Source organism: Homo sapiens, chromosome 8 (assembly GCF_000001405.40).
Source record: "Homo sapiens chromosome 8, GRCh38.p14 Primary Assembly".
Classification (NCBI taxonomy): domain Eukaryota; kingdom Metazoa; phylum Chordata; class Mammalia; order Primates; family Hominidae; genus Homo; species Homo sapiens.
The window spans coordinates 142242926-142269188 of NC_000008.11; the positions used below are offsets into that span (position 1 = coordinate 142242926).

The 26263-nt window shown below is 53.3% G+C and overlaps 1 protein-coding gene and 1 pseudogene across 3 annotated transcripts in view, besides 1 other annotated feature; both read right to left on the reverse strand.

The window, feature by feature from the left end:
• The window catches only part of TSNARE1 (t-SNARE domain containing 1), a 194950-nt gene that overhangs the window by 30846 nt on the left and 137841 nt on the right, over positions 1–26263 (reverse strand). The window lies entirely within an intron of this gene.
• Positions 4660–4941, reverse strand: RN7SL260P (RNA, 7SL, cytoplasmic 260, pseudogene; annotated as a pseudogene).
• Positions 17122–17622: an enhancer, noted in NCBI's record as "H3K4me1 hESC enhancer chr8:143341408-143341908 (GRCh37/hg19 assembly coordinates)". NCBI's record gives its function as "activates a minimal SCP1, AML or CMV promoter by ChIP-STARR-seq in naive H9 embryonic stem cells {active_cell/tissue: H9 hESC(naive)}" and the evidence as "EXISTENCE:reporter gene assay evidence [ECO:0000049][PMID:30033119]".

Genomic DNA, 26263 nt, shown 5'->3' on the forward strand with positions numbered 1-26263 from the left:
AACAAGAGTGAAACTCTGTCTCAAAAAAAAAAAAAAAAAAAAAAAGCTAACAGATATATGACAAGGTGCTCAACAGCACTATTCATCAGGAAAGTGCAAATTAAAACCAAAATGAAGTATCGCCTCACACCTGTTAGAATGGCTTTTCTGTACACATGCACATATACATATAAGATCAATGTTGGTGAGGGCGTGGGGAAAAGGGAACCCTTGCGCACTGTTGGTGGGAATGTAAATTAGCGCAGCCATCATGGAAAACAGTACAGAGGTTCCTCAAAATATTAAAACTAGAACTATCATATGTTCCAGCAATCCCACTACTCGGTATACATCCGAAGGAAATGAAACCGGTATGTCAAAGGGGACACTGGCACGCCCATGTTTATCGCTGCCCTATTCACAATAGCCAGGACGTGGAATCGGCCTAAGTGTCCCCCCAAAGTCGGATAAAGAAAGTGTGGTACATATACACCAGGAAATACGATTCAGCTTCTTAAAGAAGGAAATCCTCTCATTCGTGACAACGTGGAGGCACCTGGAAGACATCATGCTTAAGTGAAGTAAGCCAGGCACACAGAGACAAATGCTGCGTTATCTCACTTATACGTAAAATCTAAAAAAAACCTGAACTCACAGAAGCAGAGAGGGGGATGGTGGTTAGCAGGGGCCGGGGGAGCAGGGGAGGAGGTGGGGAGATCTGGGTTAAACGGTACAAGGTTTCAATCAGACAAGAGCAATACGTTCTGGTGCTCTAACGTACAGCATGGTAACTCTAGTGAATAATAATGTATAGTAGACTTAAACATTGCTAAGAGAATGTATTTAAAATGTTCTCATCACAAAATAAGTATGTGGAGGGATGGGTATGTGAATTCGCTTGATTTAATTTTTCCACAATAATACATATGTCAAAACATTATATTGTATACCATAAATATATGCAATTTGGCATTTGTCAATTTAAAAATATACAAAAAAGAAGCCGGGCATGGTGGCTCATGCCTGTAATCCCAGCAATTTGGGAGGCCGAGGCAGGCGGATCACGAGGTCAGGAGATCGAGACCATCTGGCTAACACGGTGAAACCCCATCTCTACTAAAAGTACAAAAAATTAGCCGGGCGTGGTGGCAGGCGCCTGTGGTCCCAGCTACTCAGGAAGCTGAGGCAGGAGAATGGTGTGAACCCGGGAGGCGGAGCTTGCAGTGAGCCGAGATCGCGCCACTGCACTCTAGCCTGGGCGACAGAGCGAGACTCCGACATTAAACTGTCATGATTGGTAATAACAGAATTATCATCACAGGAAACCTAAAAAATTCTTAGGCAAATTATTAGAGATAATGAGAAATGAACACTTGGCTGACTATACACTCAATTTACAAAGATCACACACATTTCTATATATCAGCCACATCCAATTAGAAAATGTGGTTTTAAAATGAGACATCATTTATAGAAACAAACAAAATATATGTTTAGGAATAAGTCAAAAAAGAAAGATATATAAAGAAAATCATCACTTACATGTATTTTAAAACATTAAAGAGGGCGTCAGTAAACAGAGTGATATACTATGTTCACAGACAAGAAGACTCACCATCGTGAGGATAAGACTGACCACATTGATCCACAGATTCCATGCAATGCCAATAAGAATGCTAACAGGGTTATCTATGGAACTTGACAAGGTGATTCTAAAATACGTATGGAAGAGCGAGGGCCAACGTCCCCAAGACACTCCTAGAACGAATCCGGGAGGTGGAGGCCAGCCCAACCAGGTCTCATCGTTCCATACGGAAGAGTAGCAACTAAGACAGTGAGCGGGGACGCAGGGAGAGAGACGCTTACCGCAGCCCACAGAGCGGAAAGGGAGGCTGGCACAGAACCTGCCACTCGCAGGGGAGCAGAGGGAGCAGGGCAGACCGGCAAGGGGCCTTCCTGCACCTGCAGCGGAAGGCATCGGCCAGAGAGGACATTTGCAACACGTGTAGACTCAGAGAGTGTTGGCTTTGAGGTCGGAGCCCACGCACCTGTGTGCAGACGCTGCACCATCATTACGACGGAAAAAAACCAACAATCCAATTTTGAAAATGGGCAAGAGGCATGAACAGACTTTTCGCAGTGAACAAAACACAAATACAAACACATGAAAAATTCCAGCCTCGTTAGTAATCAGGGAAATGCAAATGGAGACCACACTTAGTTACTATTTTACACCCAGCAGACTGGCAAAAATCGAGGAGTCTGACAATATCGAATACAAGATAGCCAGTGAGCGGATTGAGAGGAGCTCGTCTACTGCTGGTGAAAATGCAATAACCACATGGCTGGAAAGCAATTCAGTCTCAGCTGACAGAGGGGAAGCAACTGCGTCCCTGAGACCCAGGGATCACACTTTAGTAGAGAGCTGGAGACATGCTCGTCAGAGCAGCAGCCGACACAAGTGTGCTCAGAGCAGTGCTGGTTTTTCACCAAAAACTGCAAACACTCTACGCATCCATTGAGAGGAGAATGGATATAAATCATGCTAGGGTCACACAATGTCATCTTCTGCATCAGCGAAAATTATGAACTGTAGCTATGCATAAGCACATGGATGAGTCTTCAAAACAAAGCTGGATGACAAAAGGCCAGTCTCAGAAGAATACTAATAGTATGGCTCAATTTTTAGGAGCTAAAAAATAAGCAAAACCAAACAATACATTGTTTAGTAGTGAATACATCTTACCAACATTTCCTGCATAAAATAAGACAAAACCATTTAAAACTACATAAGAGCAATGGAATAACAGACACGCAATTTGGGGACAAGATTAGGTTGGGGTGAGGGCAGAGGGTGCGATGAGGCAGGGCTGCTCCCAGGAGCAAGCAGTGGTCCTGTTGGTTCTGGGTTAGGAGGTGGTTCATAGACACTATCCTTTATATCCTAAATACACGCTACACACAACCTGGTGTGGCTGTTGAATAACAGATCAGGAAAAGCTCATGCAACAACAATACTGAGACAAGCTAGGGGTTTGTACAGACTTTACCTCTAACCCTTACAGGTAACCTTCTCCACAATTCCAAAATTCCACTGCTGTAAGATCCAAACATGCTAATTCCGCAATTCCAATTATCCAAAGACACGGCACAGCAGAGCTTGGAGCTAAGGACTTCCCAGCAGGAGAGTTCCCCACTCTTCGGTTCCACAGCCCCCGTCCCATAAGGGTCCCAAAGAGGGTGTCCACTTGCCAAGGGCACCCAGGGCCTGTCCTCAGTGGCCAGCCCTGGGAGGGCAGAGCAGCACCTTGTAGCCACCCCTACCCCCATGAAGGCAGGGCTGGGGGACCCCCAGGAGATGGCAGGGCTGGGCTGAGGGTCCTCTTGAGGGCTCCACACTGTGCTGGTGGGCCAGGTCCCCTCTTCCAAGTTACACAAGGGCCCATTTCTTGGGCAGAGCCACAGGTCCTCCTGCTGCTGGCTGTCCCTGCCCCCCACCATCCAGCCTGCCCCCATCTGAGGAGTCAGGAGCCAGCCTCCACACCTCTGCCCACCCCCTCCCTGGCATGCCCCCTCCTCCCCTGGACACAACCCCAGCTTCATTCATTCATTCATCCCTGGAGGAGGAGGCAGCCTGGACTGCTTAAAAGGTTGGGTCTTGGACTTAGGGTCAAGCAGACGGGGTGCAAACCTGGCTCTGCCCCTCGAGTGTAGCTTTGGGGAAGCCTCTTGGCTTCCCTGAGCCCTGGGCCCCTCGTCTTCCCCGTGGAGGCTGGCAGAACGGAGGGATGACCGAGGACCTGGGAAGTGAGATGCGCAGACACGGGAGAACCGTTCAAGGCCGCAGAGGCTGGCCTGAGCCCAAACGCCTGCTGTGCCTCTGCCTTCTGAGTGGCCAGACACACTCCTCCTTCCAGTCATCCCCACCAACCTGTGTTAGCACCTGCTACACATCAGCACCACCCTGAGAATGTGCGAGGCAGCGATGAGCAAAGACCATCATGAAGGCTGCCATCTGAAAGTGACCACAGCACGCCCTCAGTCATTCCTTAGTCTCTCCAATCCTTCCCCTTCTCAATGAACACACATCTGTGCCTGCCAGGTGCTGCGACCAGCTATGGCCAGACGATGTCCTGTACATGCAGCTCTCTCCTCCTGGAGAAACCCCGATGCCAGTCCTGAGCCAAAGGTGTCAGCAGAGCCCTGAGCCTGGGCAGGTGTGGGAAGCAGGGAGGGAGCAGCAGATGGGTGCCCACCGCCGAGACTCCAGACCTATAGATCCACCAGCCCTGGAGAGTTGCAGGCACGAAACTTCAGCCCATGAGAACGGCTGCCTGGACTGAGCCCAGCAAAGCTCTGGGGGCGCTACTGCCCGAGGCTCGGGGTCCAGCCCCCACCCTGGTGCGTCTAGAAGGTGGGACATGGAGTCAAAGAGATTATTCTCAAGGCTTCAGATGTAATGTTGTCTGTCTGTTGGGTTTTGGACTCTTACTTGGGACCAGTGACCCCTTTCTTCTTTCCTGTTTCTCTCATTCAAAGTAGAAATGTCTGTCCTATGCCTGTCTCACCCTTGTATTTTGGAAGTGAATAACTTGTTTGATTTCACAGCTCATAGTGGGGGGTGGGGGCAATTGGCCTCAGGACAAAACATGTCTTGAGTCTCGCCCATGTGATGTTTTAAGAGATGGGATCTCACTGTGTTGCCCAGGCTGGAGTGGGGTGGCTATTCGCAGGTGCAATCCCACTACTGATCAGCACGAGAGCTCTGACCTGCTCTGTTTCCCACCTGGGCTGGTTCATCCCGCTTTAGGCAACCTGGTGGTCCCCCGCTCCCAGGAGATCACCATATAGATCCGAACTTAGTGTGGACACCTGAGGGGCCCAGACTTCCTGCACTCAAGCGATCCTCCTGCCTCAGCCTCCCAAGTAGCTGGGATTACAGGCACCACCGCCATGCCCAGCACCCTTGTGGTGTCTGGATGAGACTTTAGACTTAAAGGCCAGTGCTGGAACGAGCTCGCATGGGGGATACTGGGATGGAATGATGCTCTTTTGCATGTGGGAAGGACATGAATTTTGGGGGCTAGGTACAGAATGCAAAGGTGTGAATGGCCCCTCCAAAACCCAGGTGTTACCACCGTGACGGTATCGAGAGGTGATGAGGCCTGGCGGCTGCTCCCTCATGACGGGGACCAAGGCCCTTACAAGGCTTCACGCAGCATCCTCCACCTCGCCCTCTGCCTTCTGCCACCTGAGGACGCAGCTGGGAGACCCTGCCCGGACAAGATGTGGCACCTGGACCTTGGACTCCCAGCCTCCAGTGCTGTGAGAAGTAAATCTCTGCTCTTTAGAAAGGACCCAGTCTCAGGTGTTCTGTTTCGCAGCACAAATGGATGAAGACACCCAAGTTCAGAAGAGGGCTCTGAGAGCACCAACATGGCAGCTCCAGGATGCCCGCACAGCTCCCCAGAGGAGTTAAAGGGATTGAGTAACGGGACAAAGAGCCCCAGCCAGAAACTCAGCACCCACGGGGCTCCTGGTGTTCTCTCTCTCTCAGACTCATAAAGATTGCTCTTGCCTCACTGATCTCTGTCTAGCTCCCAGGCTGAGAACGCGGCCCCCAGACGGCAGGAAGTGCTTCCCAAATGCTGCCCTGTGGGGCCGGCTCTGGGCAGAGTAGGTTCCTGGCACTGCAGATGGTCTGGAAACTGGGGACTCGTGGCGCTGAGAGTGGACTCCCTAGGAGCAGATCTGGGCTGGGGTCTGGGTCTGGTTTACGGAGGTGGAGCTACTGAGAAGCCCGGAGGGAGGGGAAGCAGGGCATCCTGGGCTCAGACAGTGTCTGCCCTGAGCCTGGCCCACGGGGGCTCCACGTCTCCCACCTGGAGGAACAGAGGCCAGCCTCCTGCTGCCCTGTATCACTCGGTTGCAGGCTCCTGCCAGTCACGGATGGTTCTCGGGAGCAGGGGGCAGCTGAGGGCCTCGCTCACAGGGCTGGGTACTCAGCAGGGAGGGCACTGCTGCGCCCACTACCCACGCCTCCTCCACTTCTAGAAGGGCCACGCCTTTGGAGGTAGCCAGCCCTGTGGCCTTGGGCAGGACATCCACCTCTCAAAGCCTGAGTCTCCATCAGTAATGCTACCTCCCCAACAGGAACTAAACTGAGGCAGACACCGGGCCCCCGCCAGACCGCACACAGCAGGCGCCCAATGCCCCTTCCTCACGGGGCCACGCTACGACTCTGCCATTGGCTTGACCCCAATTTATAACATGAGGAAGGGGCTGAAGACCAGAAGCCTAGATATGCTCTACAAACCCCAGGGACGTCATCCGGACGGGGTGAGGGCGGTGGACCCAGGCCTGTGCCAGGCGGCTTCTCTCCCTGGAGGAGAACTGTGGGCAGAGGGTGGGCTGGGCAGCCGGCAAGGAACAGGAAGGGCCACCGGGAAGGCTGCCGAGGCCAGCGTGTGTGAGAGGTGGGCCTGGGGCCCAGCCCTGACCCAGCAGGAGGTGGCTACTAGGAAGGGGGACAGCCGACCTGGAAAGGGGGGTTTGGGTGGCAATTCCCAAGATCCCCGAGGAGGGCAGGTCCTGGGCAGAGGCTAAAGGAAGTGGGGAGGATGGGAGCCAAAACAGAGAGGACTTGACTGGGGCGGAGGCAGCGGTTTCAAGCACGCAGTGGGTTGCATAATTGTTCATAAGCCTGTGCTGCCTTCTCACGGCACCTCTCCCTCCTCCGCCCAGGGTGCTGCAGCAGGCAGGCCGTCCGCGTCAGGACCGGCTCATGAGAAATGCTCTGGTCAATGCCGTGGAGCAGCAGTGACATGTGCTGTTTCCAAGCAGATCCCTTCAGGGAGACCGTGGCACTCCTCCTCCCTCTCCCTCACTACCTAGAGCCCATGATGTCTTCGAGAGAGCTGGGGTCCCAGAGTGGGAAGCATGGCAGCAAAGCCACAGCCAGACCGGCCCATGGTGGCCTCGCAGCTCCAGCACCAATCACACCCGCAACCTGGGGGCAATTGTGACTGCAGCTTAATAGCCTGGGCTGATGGCTACGAGAGCTCTGAGCTTGGGGAGTGGGGGCCGGGGGATGCCGAGCTCTGCCGCAAACCTGCTGAGGGGTCCTGGGCAGCTCCAGAGACCTCTCTGGGCCTCCCATGCCCTTCTTCAGAGTGCGCCGCATGAGACCTGCTGGAGCCAGGCCGGCAGCGCAGCAGTGTGCTGGAGTCATTAATGCAGGCAGGCCCTGAGCTAATGAAATCCACATGGCAGCCACTCACACTTCCAGCCATGTGCTCCTCTCGGATTTTTACAGCCATTCTCCTGCCAGCGGCAAGAGCATTTTGAGGGAAAAATGCAAATTTGGGGGACATGGGGGAGCTCTTCACCAGGCTAAAAATGGCGCTCTAATGAGGCCTCCTCCCCTGGAGTAGGAGCGAGTTAGAGCTCCTTGGGGTGCGAGGTTGGAGCAGTGGGTGCCAAGGCATAATCCCTGCTTCTGCATAATCCCGGATCCCTTTCCAAGCAGCGGCGTGGGGGCTGAGCCAGGGGAGAGGGAAAACAGCCATCAGCGTCGCGGGCTCCTTGGTGAGGCGGACACTCACCCGCCAGTGAAGGCATCTGGAGCAGGTTCCAGGCCCGATCGCAGTAGCCTGCTGCCGCTTGTTTTCCTTCGGAGCGTTCTCATCTGTCTTGTTGATGGCAGCGTTAATGAGCCCTTGCTGGATGCACCTGAAGCAGCAGCTAGGCAACAGGCGCTGGGGAGCATGGAGCTGCAGCCCCAGGCGCTTGCAGACGTGGGGAAGGCAACACCGAGGGCATGGCAGCACAGGCAGCTGACCCCAAGGCTGGCCAGCCCTGCTTCCCTGACCTGCAGTCAAGGCTGCCTGCTCCAAGGAGCTGCCGTGGTGATGGACGTAGTCCACGTGCAGACTGCCTTGAACGCAGGAGCCGACGGACGAGGGGCTAGCCTTTCCCTGCCTGTGCCTCTCGGAGAGGGATGAGCATGAATCACCACTGTCCAGGCCCGAGGCCTGACCCAGTAAAGGAAGGCCAAGGAAACCCCCGTAAGGGCGGCTCAGCCTCCAGGGAGCAGCGGGCTGTCATGGGAGCTGCCCATGGTGCTGGAGCTCAGAGCTCTGGTGCAGCTCGCCAGGCAGAGGGTTTGCTGGGGATCATGTGCCCATTTAAAAGACGAAAATGCTGAGGCCCAGAGTCACCGGGCAGGCAAGTGAGGAGTTCCAGCCCAGTGCATTTGGGATCAGAGCCAGACTCTCCCTACAGGCCCCCACCGCCTTCCACCAGATTCCCAGTCTCCAGACCCCGGCCCCCCTGCACACCGCAGCCTGCCCCCCATGCCACACACTGCTGGCTCAGGCAGTGTCGGAGTTTGAGATTCCGGTCAGCTAGGGCTGAGAACCCCGCCCCCCTCCCCCCACAAAAGCCACAATCAAGAAAAGAGACTTGGTTCATCCTTCTGAGGGAAGTTGAGAGAAAGGGCTGCAAAGCGTGGCCCTGCTGCTCATGCCCCTCCTGCAGCATCCCGACACCTCCCATAAGCAGTGGGCCCACGAGCAGCTCAGGGCAGAGGTTGTCCTCCCAGTTAGGGTGCGGCAGGCTCCTGTCCGTCCGAGCAGCACTGCTCTGGCACCCTCTGTATTCTGAGAGCACACATCAGGCCCTGGTCACATTCCTGCCTGGAGACAGGGCCCGGCTTATGAGAGGAGCCTTCGACACCCTTCACTGAGTGCCTCTTGCCAGGGCCTGGGCACCATATACCCACCGCCCGCGTTCTCTATCTGCAGGGCCCGGGCACCATGTACCCGCCACCCGCGATCTCTGTCTGCAGGGCCCGGGCACCATGTACCCGCCGCCCACGTTCTCTGTCTTCAGGGCCCGGGCACCATGTACCCGCCACCCGCGTTCTCTATCTGCAGGGCCCGGGCACCATGTACCCGCCGCCCGCATTCTCTGTCTTCAGGGCCCGGGCACCATGTACCTGCCGCCCGCGTTCTCTGTCTGCAGGGCCCGGGCACCATGTACCCGCCGCCCATGTTCTCTGTCTTCAGGGCCCGGGCACCATGTACCCGCCACTCGCGTTCTCTATCTGCAGGGCCCGGGCACCATGTACCCGCCGCCCACGTTCTCTATCTGCAGGGCCCGGGCACCATGTACCCACCGCTCGCGTTCTCTATCTGCAGGGCCCGGGCACCATGTACCCGCCGCCCGCGTTCTCTGTCTGCAGGGCACGCACGTTGAGAGAGAGCTTGTTTGATATCTGGGCGGTTTGTTTGGTTTAATTTTGTTGTTTTCCCTTTCTGCTGTCAAGAGGTAAACAGACGGCTGCTTCATCTTCTTAAGCAGGCCTACATTCGTAATGCATGGGTTGCGGGTGGGAGGAGGAAGGGCCGGGCCCCCCCGGTACCAGGGCACTGGCTCTGTCCTGGCTGTGCCCCCCACTGGCTGTGTGTCTCAGGCCAAGCCTTGGAACCTCTCTGAGCCTCTCTTTCCCGCGTCTGTAAATGAGGCTGGTTTCCCCGTCCTGCCCTGAGGTTTGAGGTGGTGCTGCCGGCGACAGTGGTCAGGGGAAGAAGCGGCAGCCGCCTGTGCCCAGCGCCCCAGCAGGAGCTACCTGCATGGTGTCGCTCAATCTTCCTAAAGCTCCAGGCGAGGAAGAAATGGCTCAGAGACAACACGATTTGTCAAAAGTCACACAGCAAGCAAGTAACACAGCCAGGACCCAGGTCAGGGCACTTCCAAGCATTTATCCTTCCCTGGAAGTGCCAATAGCACTGCGAGGGCCGTTGTTTACTTCCAGCCACCCCTGCTGTCTCCATTCTTGTGTGCAACAGTTTGGAAGCATGCTGCCGTGGTGACCTCAGCCCCGAGCCCCCATCCTGGCTCCCCTGTGGACCTGGCAGGTCCTCCCCTCCCCACCCCTCAGCCATTTCCTCTGCACAATGGGACACTGCTTCCTGGCCACTGCCCTAGTGGGGCAGGTATGAGGCTTGGCTGAGTCAAAGCACAGACACGCCTGCTCTGCGTCCACTCCGGCCCAGGTGTGGGGATGCTCAGAGCAGGACACAAGGTCCAGCCTCTGCCCTGCCCTGCCCACGTCCCCTCCCCAGGCCTGCAGGAGGGCATCTGCCTGTTCACAGACTGGATGTGCCCACTCCCGGGTGCAGTATCTGGGATAGAGACCGGACGGGCAGCCTGGCAAGGAGACTGGGCTCTGCCACGGGTGAGAGTGCGGAGGTGGACAGGCTGGCGACAGCCCAGGCTGGCACTACGGGTACGGGAGGAGGGCCGGTAGCCGTGGAGTCACAGCAGTGGTGACGGCGGTGCCTGCAGAAGCAGGGCCGCTGGGCCACCTCCCGAGCACAAGCAACAAGCGAGGCACAGGCCAGCGTGCGTGCCGCGTCTGCACAGGGTCAGAGGGCCCAGTCCAGGAAAGGCACAGACAAGGTTCCGGGCATGAGGCCTTCCTGATTGCCACCCTGAGGGTGCAGTCACCCCCGAGTCACCACCCCCAGTGGCCATTCTGGGCAGGGACCCATTGCAGGTAGGGCGGTCACCCCCCAGTCACCAGCTCCAGTGGCCATTCTGGGCATAGACCCACTGCAGTAGGGCGGTCACCCCCCAGTCACCAGCTCCAGTGGCCATTCTGGGCATAGACCCACTGCAGTAGGGCGGTCACCCCCTAGTCACCAGCTGGGCTCTGTGTTTGCCCCTGCCTCGAGGTCACTCTGCCCTGACATCACCAACTTCCTTGCAAGGCCTCAGGCAGGATGGGTGACCTCGCTGAATCTCCATCACTTCATCCCCAAGTGGCAATGGTGACCCCTCCCGCAGGACCCTGCGGCTGGTCAGTGGGAACGCGTAGCCAGCCTTTTCCCAGGGGCCCGGCACGTGGCCCATGTTGTGTGTCGCCACCCTCATGGACTCCCGAGCCCGGAACAGGACAGTGGGTGAGGGAGGTGGGAGGTGGAGCCCTCAGGTTCCCCCGACCCAGGGCTGCCCACTGATCCCTCCAGACCCTGTCAGACCCAAGACTGGACTAGGAGGAAGGCAGGGCTGAGAGAAGACGCCAAGCCTTTTCCAGAAGACAGAAATCAATTCCACGCAGAGATATTCTTGGCTTTTCGTTTAGAGAGCAATAAAATGCTCTGTGCCTCCCTTCCACCTTCTTCTTGGCAGAAGGCACCAGACAGCCGTGGGCTCTGGCCCCGGGAGCCCGGCCGGCTGGAAGCCTGGCAGTGTGTTAAGGCTTTTTAATGAAACCGATCTATATCTGTTTGCAGGAGGCAGGGTACAGCCAACTGAGTTCTGCTGTGGTTTCCAGGAGTCAGAGGCTGCAACTGGCTTCCCCAGTGCCCCGTGGGGCCATGCTTCCTGGCACGGAGGCCCTCCCCATGCCCCGGCCTCTCCCTGCTGCCTGCTGCTGCTGTCTGCAGAAGACATCCCATCTACCAGCTCAGAGGAAGGACCCAAGCCCACCTGGCCAACACTCCAAACCACCTGGAGCCTGCAGATGGACAGAAATGCTTCCTGAGTTCCCAGAAAGCGATGGGCCTTTAAGCAGCGCCTCTGTACACAGCAGTGGCAGGGGATCCCCGTGGGACCCATCTTGCTTCACCTCTCATGTTCTTCCCTGAGCGGCCCCTTCTCTGGCTCATCCCCCTCCCTCCAGCACCCCCTGGCAGAACACGCTTCCTCCCCCACCATGCTGGCTGTGGGAGAGGTGTTCCGGCATATGGGGAAGGCGGGGCATCAGAGAGGCCTGGACTCGAACCCTGGCCTCACCACCTGCCAGCTGCATGATGGGGGCAAGTCCCAGCCCCACCCCAGTTTCAGTCTCACATCCACAGAATGAGGACAACACAAGACAGTGCTGCAGGCGGCTGCTGGGCTGAGGACGGCCAAGGGGAGGAGAGTCTCTCGCAGGGGTGGTGCTGCACCCGGGGCTCTGGTGCTGAAGCTGCACGCCCCATGCCCTCCCCTGCCTGCCACTCCCTGGGCCAGGCCCCTCCAACAGGTCCTGGACACTCACTCTGAGCCCAGCCTTGTGCTGACTGCCTGGGTGGTTTGGGGGGATAGACTTGAGCCACCTTTGAGGATCTTGAGGCCAGGTGGGGAAGGCAGATCCCTGTCCCATAACAGAGAACAGCAGGGGGCAAGAGGAGAGCTCTCAGATACAGAGGCCCCCAGCGGCTGAAGGGGAGTGAGGCAGGTGGGGACTCTGTCCCCAGCCCCATGAACCTGTCAGTAAGAACTCAGCACCGTAAGACAGAGGTCACTTTCTTTATCCCATTCTCCCAGTGCCCTATGCAGTGCCTAGTATGGAGGACTCAACACCATCACCCTAATACCTACCATCACCAAGTGTCACCACCACCACCATCCCTACCAGACCAGCCACATCATTATCACCACCATCACCACCACCACAGCACCATCACCATCACCATCATCATGGCTGTTACCACCACCATTACCATCACCACCACCATCACCATCACCACCACCACCACTGTCACCATCACCACCACCATCACCATCACCATCACCACCACCATCACCATCATCATCACCACCACCACCACTGTCACCATCACCACCACCACCACCACCATCACCATCACCACCACCATCACCATCACCACCATCACCATCACCACCACCACCACCACTGTCACCATCACCACCACCATCACCATCACCACCACCATCACCACCATCATCACCATCACCACCACCACCACTGTCACCACCACCACCACCATCACCATCACCACCACCATCACCACCATCATCACCATCACCACCACCACCACCACTGTCACCATCACCACCACCATCACCATCACCACCACCATCACCACCATCATCACCATCACCACCACCACCACTGTCACCATCACCACCACCACCACCACCACCATCACCACCACCATCACCATCACCACCATCATCACCATCACCACCACCACCACCACTGTCACCATCACCACCACCATCACCATCACCATCACCATCACCACCATCATCACCATCACCACCACCATCACCATCACCACCACCACCACCGTCACCATCACCACCACCATCACCATCACCACCACCACTGTCACCGTCACCACCACCGTCACCATCACCACCACCATCACCATCACCACCACCACCACCACTGTCAGCATCACCACCACCATCACCATCACCACCATCATCACCGTCACCACCACCACCACTGTCACCATCACCACCACCATCACCATCACCACCACCATCATCACCACCACCACTGTCACCATCACCATCACTATCACCACCACCACCATCACCATCACCATCATCACCATCACCATCACCACCACCATTACCATCATCACCACACCCACCACCACCATCATCACCACCATCACCATCTTTGCCACCATCATCATCACCATCATTATCACCACCATCATCACCACCATCATCATCACCAATACCACCAGCAGCAACCACCATCATTATCACCACCATCATCATGGCTATCACCACTACCATTACCATAACCACCAACACCATCACTATCACCACCACCATCACCATCACTGTAACCATCACCACCACCACAACCATCACCATCACCATCACCACCATCACCATCACCACCATCACCATCACCATCATCACCACCATCACCATCACTATCATCACCATCATCACCACCACCACCACCACCACAATCAGCAGAAGTAACTGTGCCACATGCTTTCACAGGCAATCCTGAGGCATTCCTGGTATTATATTTTACAGGAGAGCGCAATGAGGAGCAGAGATTAAGCAATATGCTCGAAGTTGCACACAACTCGTCACTGGCAGAGCTGGGATTAGAACCGGGTTCTGCCTGACTCTGGGGACAATCCTCATTTGTTAAGCAAACAATGGCAGCCACTGCTACTCAGCACAATTTCTGAAGCAGGGGCTTTTCTTGGTGAATGAGGACCAGGGTCAGGGGCTGCCTCAGGGGTCCTGGGGAACACTGTTGCTCTGAGCCACAGGTATTGGAGGGAAAACAGGCTCATTTGCATGCCATTTGCATACAGTTGCTAAAAGGAGCCACAATTCCCCACCACTTCCAAACTGCTTTGTTCTGCCTTGAAAGGGACCTTCCCACGCACACATACCCATCCCCCAATCACCATAGACACAGACACCCTGACGTGGGGCGGTGTCCCTCATCACCTCTCTCCGAGGGAGGCAAGTCTCCACTTTCAGCACAGTGCCCACTTCGGGGGTGACCTTGGACAGGGAACCTCCTCTCTCTGACTGCAGCCCACCCAACTGGAGCAGCCCGGGGTTCCCAGGCCCTCCTAGCTGAGCATGCAAAGATGGAGGGGCAGATTGGACAGGACAAGGTCCTCTGCAGGGCCGGTGCTCAGGAGGGGCCTGCGGAGGGCAGGAGCTCCCCGCAAGCCCGAGGCATACTGGACAGCTGGCCGTGGACAGCCAGAACACCTGGACTGGACAGGATGTCAGGTGCTGCCTCCTGGAGACCCCCAGGCAGGTGCCTTGCCCAGCCAGGAGACTCTGGGAGCCTCCTCCCCTGTAGGCCACCACATTCCACCCACCACTCCCCTCTGCTTCCCTGGCAGCTGCTTGGCTCCGGGACACTGGGCAGCTCCCCTGCCGCTGCAGGGGTCCAGGCTGACAGGCTGGGAGGAAGCAGTTTGGGAAGGTGCTTCAAGCTGGCCTCCCAGGTTACAACTCCAGGGGCCTGATAGGCAGGGTCTCAGGTCCCTCTAAAGATCCCCGCGATGACCCAGGGGTGGGAGGCCTGGCCCTGGGGGTGCTACTCTTCCTCTACCCACCCTGGCCAGGCCACCCCTGCCAGACACTCACTGCTTCATGGAGATCCAGCCGCCTCCGGGAGAAGCCCTTTCTGCCCACTCTGCTGGCCCCACAGCCAGAAAGTGAGGCACTCTCACCTTGGTGCTCCCACCCACTGCCCCTGGGTGAGCATAAGAGCTTGAGCACGCATACGCACACAACACCCAAGCTCACACACACACACACCACCCGTGCTGTCTCACAGACACAACACTCAAGCTCACACACACACACCTGTGCTTATACACACATGCACACATGCACTTGTGCTCACACATGCACACACAAAACCTATGCTCATGCACACACGTACACACCTGCATGCAACATGCCTATGCACGAAGGCACACGCGAAGGCACACATGGATACACATGTACACACGCTGTATGCACACACAGATGCCTGTGTGCACACACAGTACACGAGTGCATAAGCTGTGCACATATACAGGAATGCACACTGGTACATGAAGGCACGCGTGTGCACACTGCACACATGCACACAAATGCACACACACACGGATGCATGCATGCAGGCATATGTAAATGCACGCACCCGCCCACTGCTGCCCCGAGTGCACACCTACGCTGTAGGTGGAACTCAGGGAGTGCTTACTGTATCTTGGACAAGTCTTCTCTTCGCCCCCTGGGCCTTCTGCCTTCCCTCAGTTGGGACCCAGTCAGCTGCAGAACTTGTGCTTTTTTTTTTTTTTTTTTTTTTGAGACAGTGTCTCACTCTGTTGCCCAGGCTGGAGTGCCGTGGCGTGATCTAGGCTCACTGCAACCTCTGCCTCCTGGGTTCAAGCCATTCTCATGCCTCAGCCACCCAAGTAGCTGGGATCACGGGCATGTACCACCACACCTGGCTAATTTTTTTTGTAGTTGTATTAGAGACAGGGTTTTGCTTTTTTATCATATTTTTAGTAGAGACAGAGTTTTGCCATGTTGGGCCAGGCTGGTCTCAAACTCCTGACCTCAAGTGATCCACCCACCTTGGCCTCCCAAAGTGCTGGGATTACAAGCGTGAACCACCACGCCCAGCCAGAACGCATGCCTTTCTGTTGCTCACCTCAGAGACCCCAGAACCCACCCAGCTCAGAGTCTGGAAGAGCCCCAGATGCAGGGCACGGTGCCAGAACAGAGGGGTGTCCAAGGTGTGTGTGGGTGCAGCATCACCGGGGCCCTACTCCCACCGCCAGCCCAAGGGGCCCCTGAGCCACCGCTTTGCACGGTCCGGCAAGCTCAGGCGAGATACATCCAGCCACAGTCACGCTGCAGCTGAGGCGTGGCACAGCCCACCTTGAACCCAGGTCTGTCTGACTCTGAAGTTGCTCCTGAGTCACCAAGGACACTCCCAGGTGAGGTGAGGAGGATGGGCACGTTGTCTGAGGACGGGGCCGAGGGGCAGAAGGGCGACAGCACCCCAACTCCCGTGACTGCTGTCTCTACCCTTCCCTCAGCTGTGAGCCTGGTATTTATTAGACGCAGCAGATTGATTTAAATCTTTGCCTAGGGTTATTTTTCTGTTCAGCATTCTCCCAGAGAAGGACTGGTCAAGTGGGCACGGCCAGAGCTTCTGTAGACAGGAAAGGGCACGGTTTCTGGGGTCCCAGGCCTGAGAGGGCCGAGTTCAGACTGGGTCACCCTCCCTGCCCCCCATACCCCTACAGGCTGTCCTTTACAGCACCTGGAAACACAATTCACATTTACATTTCTCAGCAGACTGGGGGAAGAATCTATAACAATCTGATCACGAAAATGAGATTCTCCAGTGTTCTCTGTACCCGCGGACACTGCAGGCAGCTCAGGCCTCAGCAAAATCCAATTGCTGTTTATTTAACCTGCTTGGCCTCCCAATTAAAAGGCAGCCTCCTTCGCCCCGGACACAGGCCCACGTCCCCCACAAGCAGCCTCTTACAGGGCTGCCACCCCAGCACCGGCGCAGGCCCCTTCCCCTACCGTTCTGCTACTTCCCTGCCTGCAACGTGGCTGCTCCCAGCTCTCAGGATTAGAATACCGAGTTGCTAAGAATGCAACTAAGGGGTTCTGGAAGGAGACTTGGTGGCACGCCTTCCCCCGGGGGCACCTAGGGGATGCCTCGTAGCAAACCCTGAAGGCTGTTGTGGCGAGGAAATTTGGCCCTCAGGAACAGGGCAGTGGTTCAGGGCCTGGTGCACCTTCCCAAACTGGCCCCACCCTGCCCAGGTGCCCTCGGGCCGCAGAGGCCCAGGACTCACCCTCTGCACTCCCCCAGCCCGCCTCTGCTTGGGCCTGGCTTCCAGGCACAGTTAAGTGTCTCTTCCTCCAGGAAGCCTCCCTTGATTCCCTAGAGCCAATGGCTAACTCCTTCCTCCGGTCTCCACAGCCCCGAACCCAGAGCCTGCCACCTGGAAGCCACCTCAGAAAAGCGTGCAACGTCTTACCCTGGGGCAGGCCCCTAATTTTACAGGGAAGAAAGTAGAAAAAGTCAAATCATGATTTCAGCACAACTAGCTCAGAGCCTGAGAGCCACAGAAGCACAACTGTTTAGAGATGGAAAGAGAGAAGGGAAGGAGGGAAGAAAAGCGAGTCGGGAAGTTGAGGGCCAGATGAGCAAGCATGGGCACTGGGGCCGGGTCTGGCAGCCCACTCTCAAGGGACTCAGCCCTCCCTGGCCAGGCGTCCTCTGTCCTCCCTTGGGGCATAAACTGGCCGGGGCCCACGGCCAGGGAGGCTGGGTGGGTTATCAGCTAACCTTGCCCTTTGTTGGCCTTGGATTAACTCAGAAGCCCAAACTCTTTAGCCACCATCTGACCCAGCCTCACTTCTCAGAACCTTGAGCCCCGTTCCCCTGGAAAGCTTCGATGTGGCCAGAGACCTCTCTGCATGTCTTCATCTCACCCCAGCAGTCGGCTGAGTCCCCCGGGAAAGATCCTGACGCCCCAGCCTCACCAGTTCCTGGGGGAAGCACAGAGGGCACATGCACTCTGTGATCTGCCTTTACTGAGCACCTACTGCATGCAGAGCTCTGCCTCAGGCACTAAAGCCCTGCCCCAGAGCTAATGTTCCACAGGGAGGGAGACCACAGGGCAGAGCCTCTGCAGCTGGGTCAGGGAGGGAAGGGAAGGTGAGGGCAGATCTTCTGATAAGCACATATCTGAGACCTAAGGGGAAGCAGCAAGGCAGGATGCAGAGAGGACAAAGCAGTCAGGGAGGGAGGGAGGGAGGAGAGAGGGAGGGGGGTGGGGAGGGAGGAGAGGAGACAGGGAGGAGAGAAAGAGGAGGGAGGAAGGAAAGAGGGAAGCAGGAGGGAGGAGAGAGGAAAGGAGGAAGGAGGGAAGAGAGGGGGAGCAGGGAAGGAGAGAGAGAGGAGGGAGGGAAGGAGGAAAGAGGTAGAAGGGAGGGAGGAGAGAGGGAAGGATGTGGGAGGAAGGAGAGAGGAAGGGAGGGGAGAGGGAGGAGGGAGAGAAGGGAAGAGGGAGAGAAGGAGAGAGGGAGGAGGGAAGGAAGGAGAGAGAGAGGATAGAGGGAGGGAGGAGGGAAGGAGAGAGGAAGGAGGGATGGAGGAGAGAGGGAGGAGGGAGGGAGGGAGAGTGGGAGGATGAGGGAGGAGGGATGGAGGAGAGAGGGGGGAGGGAGGGATAGTGGGAGGAGAGAGGAAGGAGGGATGAAGGAGAGAGGGAGGACCGGGGAGGGAGAGTGGTGAACACCTGCTGGGAACTCAGCACATGCTGGGATGCTGGCACTCCCTGCTTTCTGTAGTTATTTGAAGACTATAGCCGCTCCCACTGCACAGGCGCTGTGATGCCTCAATGCATTGACCCATGTGAGCCCCAGGATGTTCCTGGCGGAGGAAAGATCTGTGAAGGCAGCATTTCTCCTTGCTCCTCATCCTGGCCACGGCCCCGGGGTGGGGGTGCAGGGGGTTATTATTCTCCTTTAACGATTGCGTTTTCCCGGCCTTCCTGCCAAACCACGAGCTCCGACAAGGCAGCTCACGGGCATAGAGGGGTCTGAGGCTGCCCTCGCTATACCCAGCAGAGCCTCCTCCAACATGCTACGAGTCTGTCCTTCAGACCTGCCCTGGGGGCACAGGTCACAGTGCCAGATGCCAGCCAAGTCCAACCTGGGCAGCAGGGCTTATGCCCAGGAGAGTCCTGCCGGCCACAGCTGCCCAGGGCATCTCCCCAACAGCCACTCCTTCCATCCCACGGCGGGGCCAGCCTGCTCCCAGCCCCATCAACTCTTGCCTGGTGTCCCTCTCACAGGCTCATGAAGCTGCTCACGCCAACCTGCTCATGGTAACAAGACAAGGCCCAGCCCTCCAGCAGACACCGAAGTCCCCTTCAGGCCTGCGGCGACTCCGTGGTGGGACAGCAGTCTCTCTACCTCGTCCTTCTTCTTCCAGGTGGCATGGCTGTTTTTAGGCCTTCGTTTGCTCACAAACTTTATAATCAGCCTGCCAAACTCCTTGAAAAACACTATCAGAATTTTGATTGGAATTGCATTGAGCCTATAGATTTGGGAATTGGCAGCTTTACAAAACCCACTCTTCCTATCCATGAACGTGTGTGTGTGTGTGTGTGTGTGTCCATTTATTTAGAATTTTTTATGTATTGTAATAAAGCTTTATAATTTTCTCCACAAATATTGTCCTCATATTTTGTTATTTTACACATGGTATTTTTGCTGGTATTATAAATGGTATGTTTTTCAATGCAGCTTACTTATTAATATGGTTTGGATGTGTGTACCCGCCCAAATCTCATGTCCAACTGTAATCTTCAGTGTTGGAGGCCTGGTGGGAGGTGCCTGGATCATGAGGGCCGGTTTCTCACGGTTTAATGCCATCCCCCTAGTGCTGTCATGGCGATAGTGAGTTCTCACAAGATCTGGTTGTTTAAAAGTGTGTGGCACCTCCCCCACCTCTCTTGCTCCTGCTCCAGGCATGTAAGACGTGCCTACTTCCCCTTCGCCTTCCACCATGATTGTAAGTTCCCTGAGGCCTCCCCAGAAGCAGAAGCCGCTATGCTTCCCGTACAGCCTGCAGAACCGTGAGCCAATCACGCCTCTTTTCTTTATAAATTACCCAGTCTCAGGTATTTCTCTACAGCAAAGCAAGAATGGACTAACACACTTATTGACTATGTACGGAAACGCCTTTGATTGTAATAACATGTGGACTTTAGACGAGCCACTTCACAAACTCTCTTATAAATTCTACTAATTTGTCCAGGAGTTCTTTTTATGAATAAAGACAGTTGTGTTTCCTCTTTTCCAGTCTTTACATATGATTGGGTGTCCTTTCTAACTGAGCCCAGCTAGCACCCTCGACTTTCTCTGTTTTTAAAGGAGGGCTCCTCATATCTCACCGTGAATGTTCGCTGTTGAGGTTTTGGTAGATAATCCTGGTCAGTTAAGAAAATTCTTGCCTTTCTATTTTGATGAGTCTTAAAAATATGAATGGGTATTCAATTGTAACAAATACTTTCTCAGGACGTCTGGAAATGGCAATCATCTGCTTTTTCTTATTTCTTCTATTCCAGTGGGGTGAATTCTATTTATAGGTTTCCTGTTGATTAAATGAATAAATAAGCAGTGTTAAATCCACTTCCAGCGTAAATCCAACCTGGCGAGGATGCCGTATCTCCAAACACTTCTGGTTGCAGTTTGCTAGTGTTTTCTTTGGGATCACCACGGTTTAGTTCAAGGGGTGGACTGGCCTCAAACATCCCCTTCTCGTGTGCTTGTTCCTCATCCTATGCGTTTAGGAATTTCCCCTCTTTTTATTTTTCTTTGGAAGGTTTGTGTAAGACTGGATTTCTTCCTTGAAAGTGGGGTAGAATACGCTTTAAAAATCATCTGGGTTTAGTGTCTTCACCATGGAAAGAATTTTTCCTACTGATTCAATTTCTTTAAAGAATGACTGAGGCTATTTAGAGTTGATGTTGGCAAAGTGGACTTTTCTAGGAATCTGTCTATTTTTTAGCTGAGTTTCCCCATGTGTTGGCATGAGATTATCCATGGACTCCTCTTGTTATTTTGAAATGTCTGCTCTTTCTCTCCTGGACTGCTGTTGCTAGTAGTTCAACTATTTAAATGGTCCTTCCTAAGAACTGGCTTTGGACTTTGTAGCGCCTTCCATTAAAATTTTAACAAGTTAAAGTTAAAGTTAACTCTGCTCCTGTCTTTACAAGTTTCTTCCTTCTATTTCTTTGGGTTCATTCTGTTGTTCCTTTACTTAAAAAAAGTCTTTTTAATGTCTATTTTAATTTTCAGCTTTCTTTGGTAGTATAAGCATTGAAGGCTACTAAGTTTCATTGAAGTCTCCCACAAATTTTGATATGCAGTATTTTCAATAGTATCCAATCATGTCTTTGTACCTAGCTATTAACTTCATATCCCTTAATGATTTCTTCTTTGACCTCTGAGTTATGTAGAACTGTTTTAAAATTTCCAAACATACAATGACCTTTTTATTTTTTGCCACCAATATCTAATGGCTGCATTTTTCTAACTGCATTTTCTAGTGATTGAAGTGTTCTACACATTACTGATCTTTTGAAATGTTTTGACTCTTGCTTTATGACCTAGTCCATGGTCAAAATCTGGAAATATTCCGGTTGTACCTGAGAAAATGAGTGCCCTCTATTTGTGTAGCAGAGGGTTCTGTAAGCATCCGTGAAGTTCAGCGCTGGTGTTCAAATTTTTAGGTTTCCTGCTGACACTCCCCATCAATCTCTAAAACAACGTGCTGAAACCTTCCGCTGTCCTGATAGATTCATTGATTTCCTTCTGTAATTCTACCCACTTTTGCTTTATGTATTTTATTAAGTGTAGAAGGGTTTAGGATTTTTCATCCTCCCGATGAGCTGAACCCATTCTGGAGTGACTCCAGTGTATCCTTAATATATACTTTTTGTCTTAAAGTCCATTTTGTCTAAAATTAACATTGCTACTTAAGCTCTCTTTTGCATAGCTTTTGACTGGCAAATCTTCACACCTTTCCTTCCAATGCCCCTTTGGTCCTATGTTGGAGTGCCTCTCTTGTCAATAGTAAAGGTGTTATTTTTTCCTCCAATCTGACAGTCCTTAACTCTGATGAGCCCTTTTAATCTGTCTGCATTTATTTTGCTCACTGGACAGTTCCAAATGCTTCTTTGTGTTCTCGCCCTGTCCTGCATTTTTCTTCTGTGTTATCTGCTTCTCCTTTTCTTTTTGTTGCATTTTTTGCCTTCTCCTTTCTATTCAACATAGGTTTTTGTTTAATTGTATTCTTATTCCATTTTTACTGATTTGGAAGTTATATACTCTAATACTCTTAGGTTACCTTAGTCTTCAGTTTCTTATTAACTTTCTACTCAGTTTGTGTGTGTGTGTAGTTCTATGAAATTTTATCACATATGTAGATTCATGTCACCAGCACCATGTTCAAAATACAAAACTGTCCCACCACCACAAGGCTCTCCTGCAGCCTTTTACAACTGCACCCTACCCCACTCCACTTCCCTAACCCTTGACAACCAGCCACCGCTCTGCCCTCCATCCCTGTGATCTCGCCCTTTTGAGAATGTTACAGAAATGGAGTCACAAAGCATGGCCTTTTCGAGACTGGCTTTTTCATTAAGCACAATGCCTTAAGAACCGTCTGAGTTGCTGGCATTTCCGAGTGGGCTCCTTTTGTTCCTGGGTAGAACTCCACTGTGTGGCCGTGGCAGTCTGTTCACCTGCTCACCTGCAGAGGCACAGCAGGGCTTTTCCACTTTGGGGCCATGGCAGATAAAGACACGATGAACATCTGTGTGCAAGTGTTGGTGTGAACATGAGTTTTTCTTTCTCTAGGATAAATGCCCAGGAGTGAAACTGTTGTGTTGTATAGTAAGTGTTATGTTTACATGTTGAAGAAACTACAAAACTGTTTTTCAGAGTGGCTGTAACATTTGACATGCCCAACAGCAGTGCATGAGCGAGCCATTTCTCCTCACCCCCGTGCCTCTTGGTCACTTCAGCGGCAGGCAGTGGCATCGCGGTGTGGGCTTAATGTGTATTTCCCTCATGGCTACTGCTGTGGGGCATCTTTTCATGAGCCTACTTGCTACCCATATATCTACTTTGGTGAGTGTCGGATCAAATTGTTGTGCACTTTCTGATGGAATTGTTTTCTTTCAGTTGAAATTAGAGAGCTTTTTATATATTCTGGATACATCCTTCATCAGACATGTGATTTGCAAATATATTCTACTAGTCACTGGCTTCTCTTTTCATTCCCTTAACAGGATCTCTTGCAGAACAGAAGTTTCCAATTTTGATGAAGGAACCCTTGAGCTTTTTTATGATGTACAGTTACTAGCACAGGCTAAAATTAATCAATATTTAACTCCCCTGCAAATACAAGGATCTCAGAATATTTGGACAATTCTTCACCTTTAATATACTATCATTGTCCAGTAGTTCCATCCTTTGTAAAAAATCTATTCCACAAATTAGACATTCTAGTAATTATGGACTTTTTAAAACCTTAATGAGGATTTGGATTTACTTACACATTTACCAATTTCTTGGTTCACTATTCTTCTTGCATTACACATACTCTTTCTGGGATTCCAGTCCTTCACCTTGAAGTCCATTTTTTGGAAACCCCTTTTCATGAAGGCCTGTTGGTGGTAAGCCCTCGCAGTTTTTATTTGGATAGAATGTCTGTATTTTGCCTTTAATCTTGAAAGGTAGTCTTGTCAGTTGCAGAATTCTAAGTTGACAGCGACTTTCTCTCAATACTTTGTAGATACTACCATTTTCTGGCTTCCTCTGCTGCCAATGTAATGTGAAATGTCGGCAAATTTGTCATCACTTCTCCCTTCTTTCAAATTGCTTGAGGCTTTCCCTTTCTCTGTGCTGTTCCACAGTTCACCCATGATGTGCCCAGGAAGGTATTTCATGTATGTGTTCAGTATGCTCGTGCTTCCTGTGTCTGTGGAATCACACATCACATCAACGACCTCTTCACACACTGCTTTCCTCCATTTCACTGATCCTCCTCTTCCGGGACTCCAAGACGACATATGTTGCATCTCTGGTTCTACTCTCCCCATCTCTTCATCTGTCGTAGTTTCTATTTTCTTACCTCTCTTTGCAACATTATTTCTTTAGAAATCTTCGAGTTTGCTATTACTAACTTCATCTATGTCCAGTATGTTGCTTAACCCATCCACAAAGTTCTTCATTTCTAAAAGCCATACTGATATTTCACAGATCGGCCTAATCACTTTTTAGAATCTTATTGCTCATTTTTGTGATTTCATCTTTTTATTTTTAAAAATATTTCACAGAAATCATATTATATGTCTGATTAATTGCAACAGCTAAAATCTTTTGGGGTCTAAACTTGATATTTTTGCTCTTGTTGGATATTCCTCCTGGTTTTCCCTCAACGGCTTTCCCCATTACAGACCAAGTGATTTCCAACTGGAGGCCCAAAAGATTCTTCTTATTTTGTGGGTATCCCAAAGGCCTGACTAGGGGATCTTTTCTCCAGAACCTTCTTCTTGGATCCAGGATCCACAGGTGGACCTGGTGCTTATTCAGGCTCAGGGCAAGAACCTTCCTCATTTCCTGAGATCCTCTAGGGTGGGCAAGCTGGCCGTGCTCATTTGAGCCAGATGGATGAGGCACCTGAAAACTGTCCTCACTCACCTGGAATGCAGCACTGCGTAGGGAAAGGGCATGAACTTGGAATCCAGACACCTGGTTCAAGGCCTGCCTCTAGCACTCTCTGTGAACCTGGACATGACCCTGCAGCTTCAACACCACCCCTCCAATACCACCCTGGGCTCTCAGTCTGTCTGTAAAATGGGGGACCTAGTGAGGGGACCCGGGCTCTCTAGCTCTGACAGGAACCATCCCTGCCACTCCCCCCGGCCTCTTTCTAAAACACACCTTGGAAGGCCCTGCAGGCAAGCTCCGCCACAGAATGCCACATCCTATTTCTCATCACAGACCCACCATCCTCCTAATCTCTCCTGGTAAACATTTGGGCTGCCTGGGGGATGGAATGCAAGAAGCACAGTGTCCAAGGTGAGCAGTGTGGATACGAATCCCACTGAAATCCCATCTGGGATAGGTCGGCAACCCTCAAGGTCTTCCCGGGTGCCTCTCTCACACGCTTGCTAAGAGCATTCCTTCCTCAAAAGCTCTGATCCTGACAGGTTCCTGGTGAAGCCAAGACCACAGTCTCCTTCCTGGCGAACCTCAGGCCACCCCTGGCCCACATCCAAGAGAAGGGGTTTCCAGGCCCAGATCTGAGGGCAACACTCCTGGACCCTCCTGGTTCTCCTTTCATCCAGAAACACCCTTGCCCTCAGGGCCAGGCATGGCCTCTGCCCTCCCTGCGTGCCACCTGCCATTCCATGCCCCCACTGGATGATGGAGCTTCATGGACAGCCATCTGCTGTCCTGGCCATGCTCCTGCCTGGCCTCTCGGCATCTGAGCAGCTCTCAGGAAACTGTCCTAGAGTGCAAAGGGCACGTGTGCACTGTGGAGACACATGGACCAGGACTTACCCATTCTGCCCCTAAGTTCTCGAGTCCCTGCTCCTCAGCCACAATGCAGAGGTGAAGCCGGCTCTCCTAGCTTGGCCCTTGGTCTTCTCTGCCTGAGGTACTTCTGGATCTTCCTGCCCCTCGCTGGCTGCAGTGATTACTGCCAAATCGCCTTGGAGGCCTCTGCTGTCCGTCCTGCAGGGAAGCCCCCGACACTCTAGACTGTGCAATCCCAGCTCTGTCAACGCCCCAGCTTGGCAGATTGCACGCTGCCTACCCCAGCATCCAGTCCCTTCCGTCTTAGTAACAAAATCCTGATTTGGGGCTGAAGCCGTGTTTTCCAGCTTCTAATGCAACGAAATGTGGGCATCTGACTAACTCCCAGTCAGTGGGCTGAGATGCAGGCAGAGATCTCCTTCAAGGGAGGGTGTGTGACCTTCCTCCATTCCTTCCCTACACCCTGCTACCTGAAACACAAGCGTGATGGGGGGAGGCCTGCAGCCATCCTGGGCCATGAGGACCACGGCAGAGAAGGGAGCAGAAAGACACCTGGACCTCTGAGGACTGTGGCCCTGCCTTGCCAGCTCCAGGTCATCAATGTCGGTGACGTAGGGGCCATGACGCCTATCTACTCTAAGACACCCTATTCTCTGTTTCCTACCAAATGCAGTTACACTGATTTTTAACTGATACACAAAATAACTTTCATCAAATATGTACTGACTTGCTTAGTATACGTTTTCTGTAGCACACGCTAAGCTCTGGAAGAAGAGGCCTCAAGTTTGCCTTGGTTGTTTCTGTATCCTCAGCACTTAGTAAGGGCTCAGCCCAGAGGATACTCCCAGAAGATGCCTGGACTGACCAGGGTCAGGGCTGGGGCCAGAGCTTAGTGTGT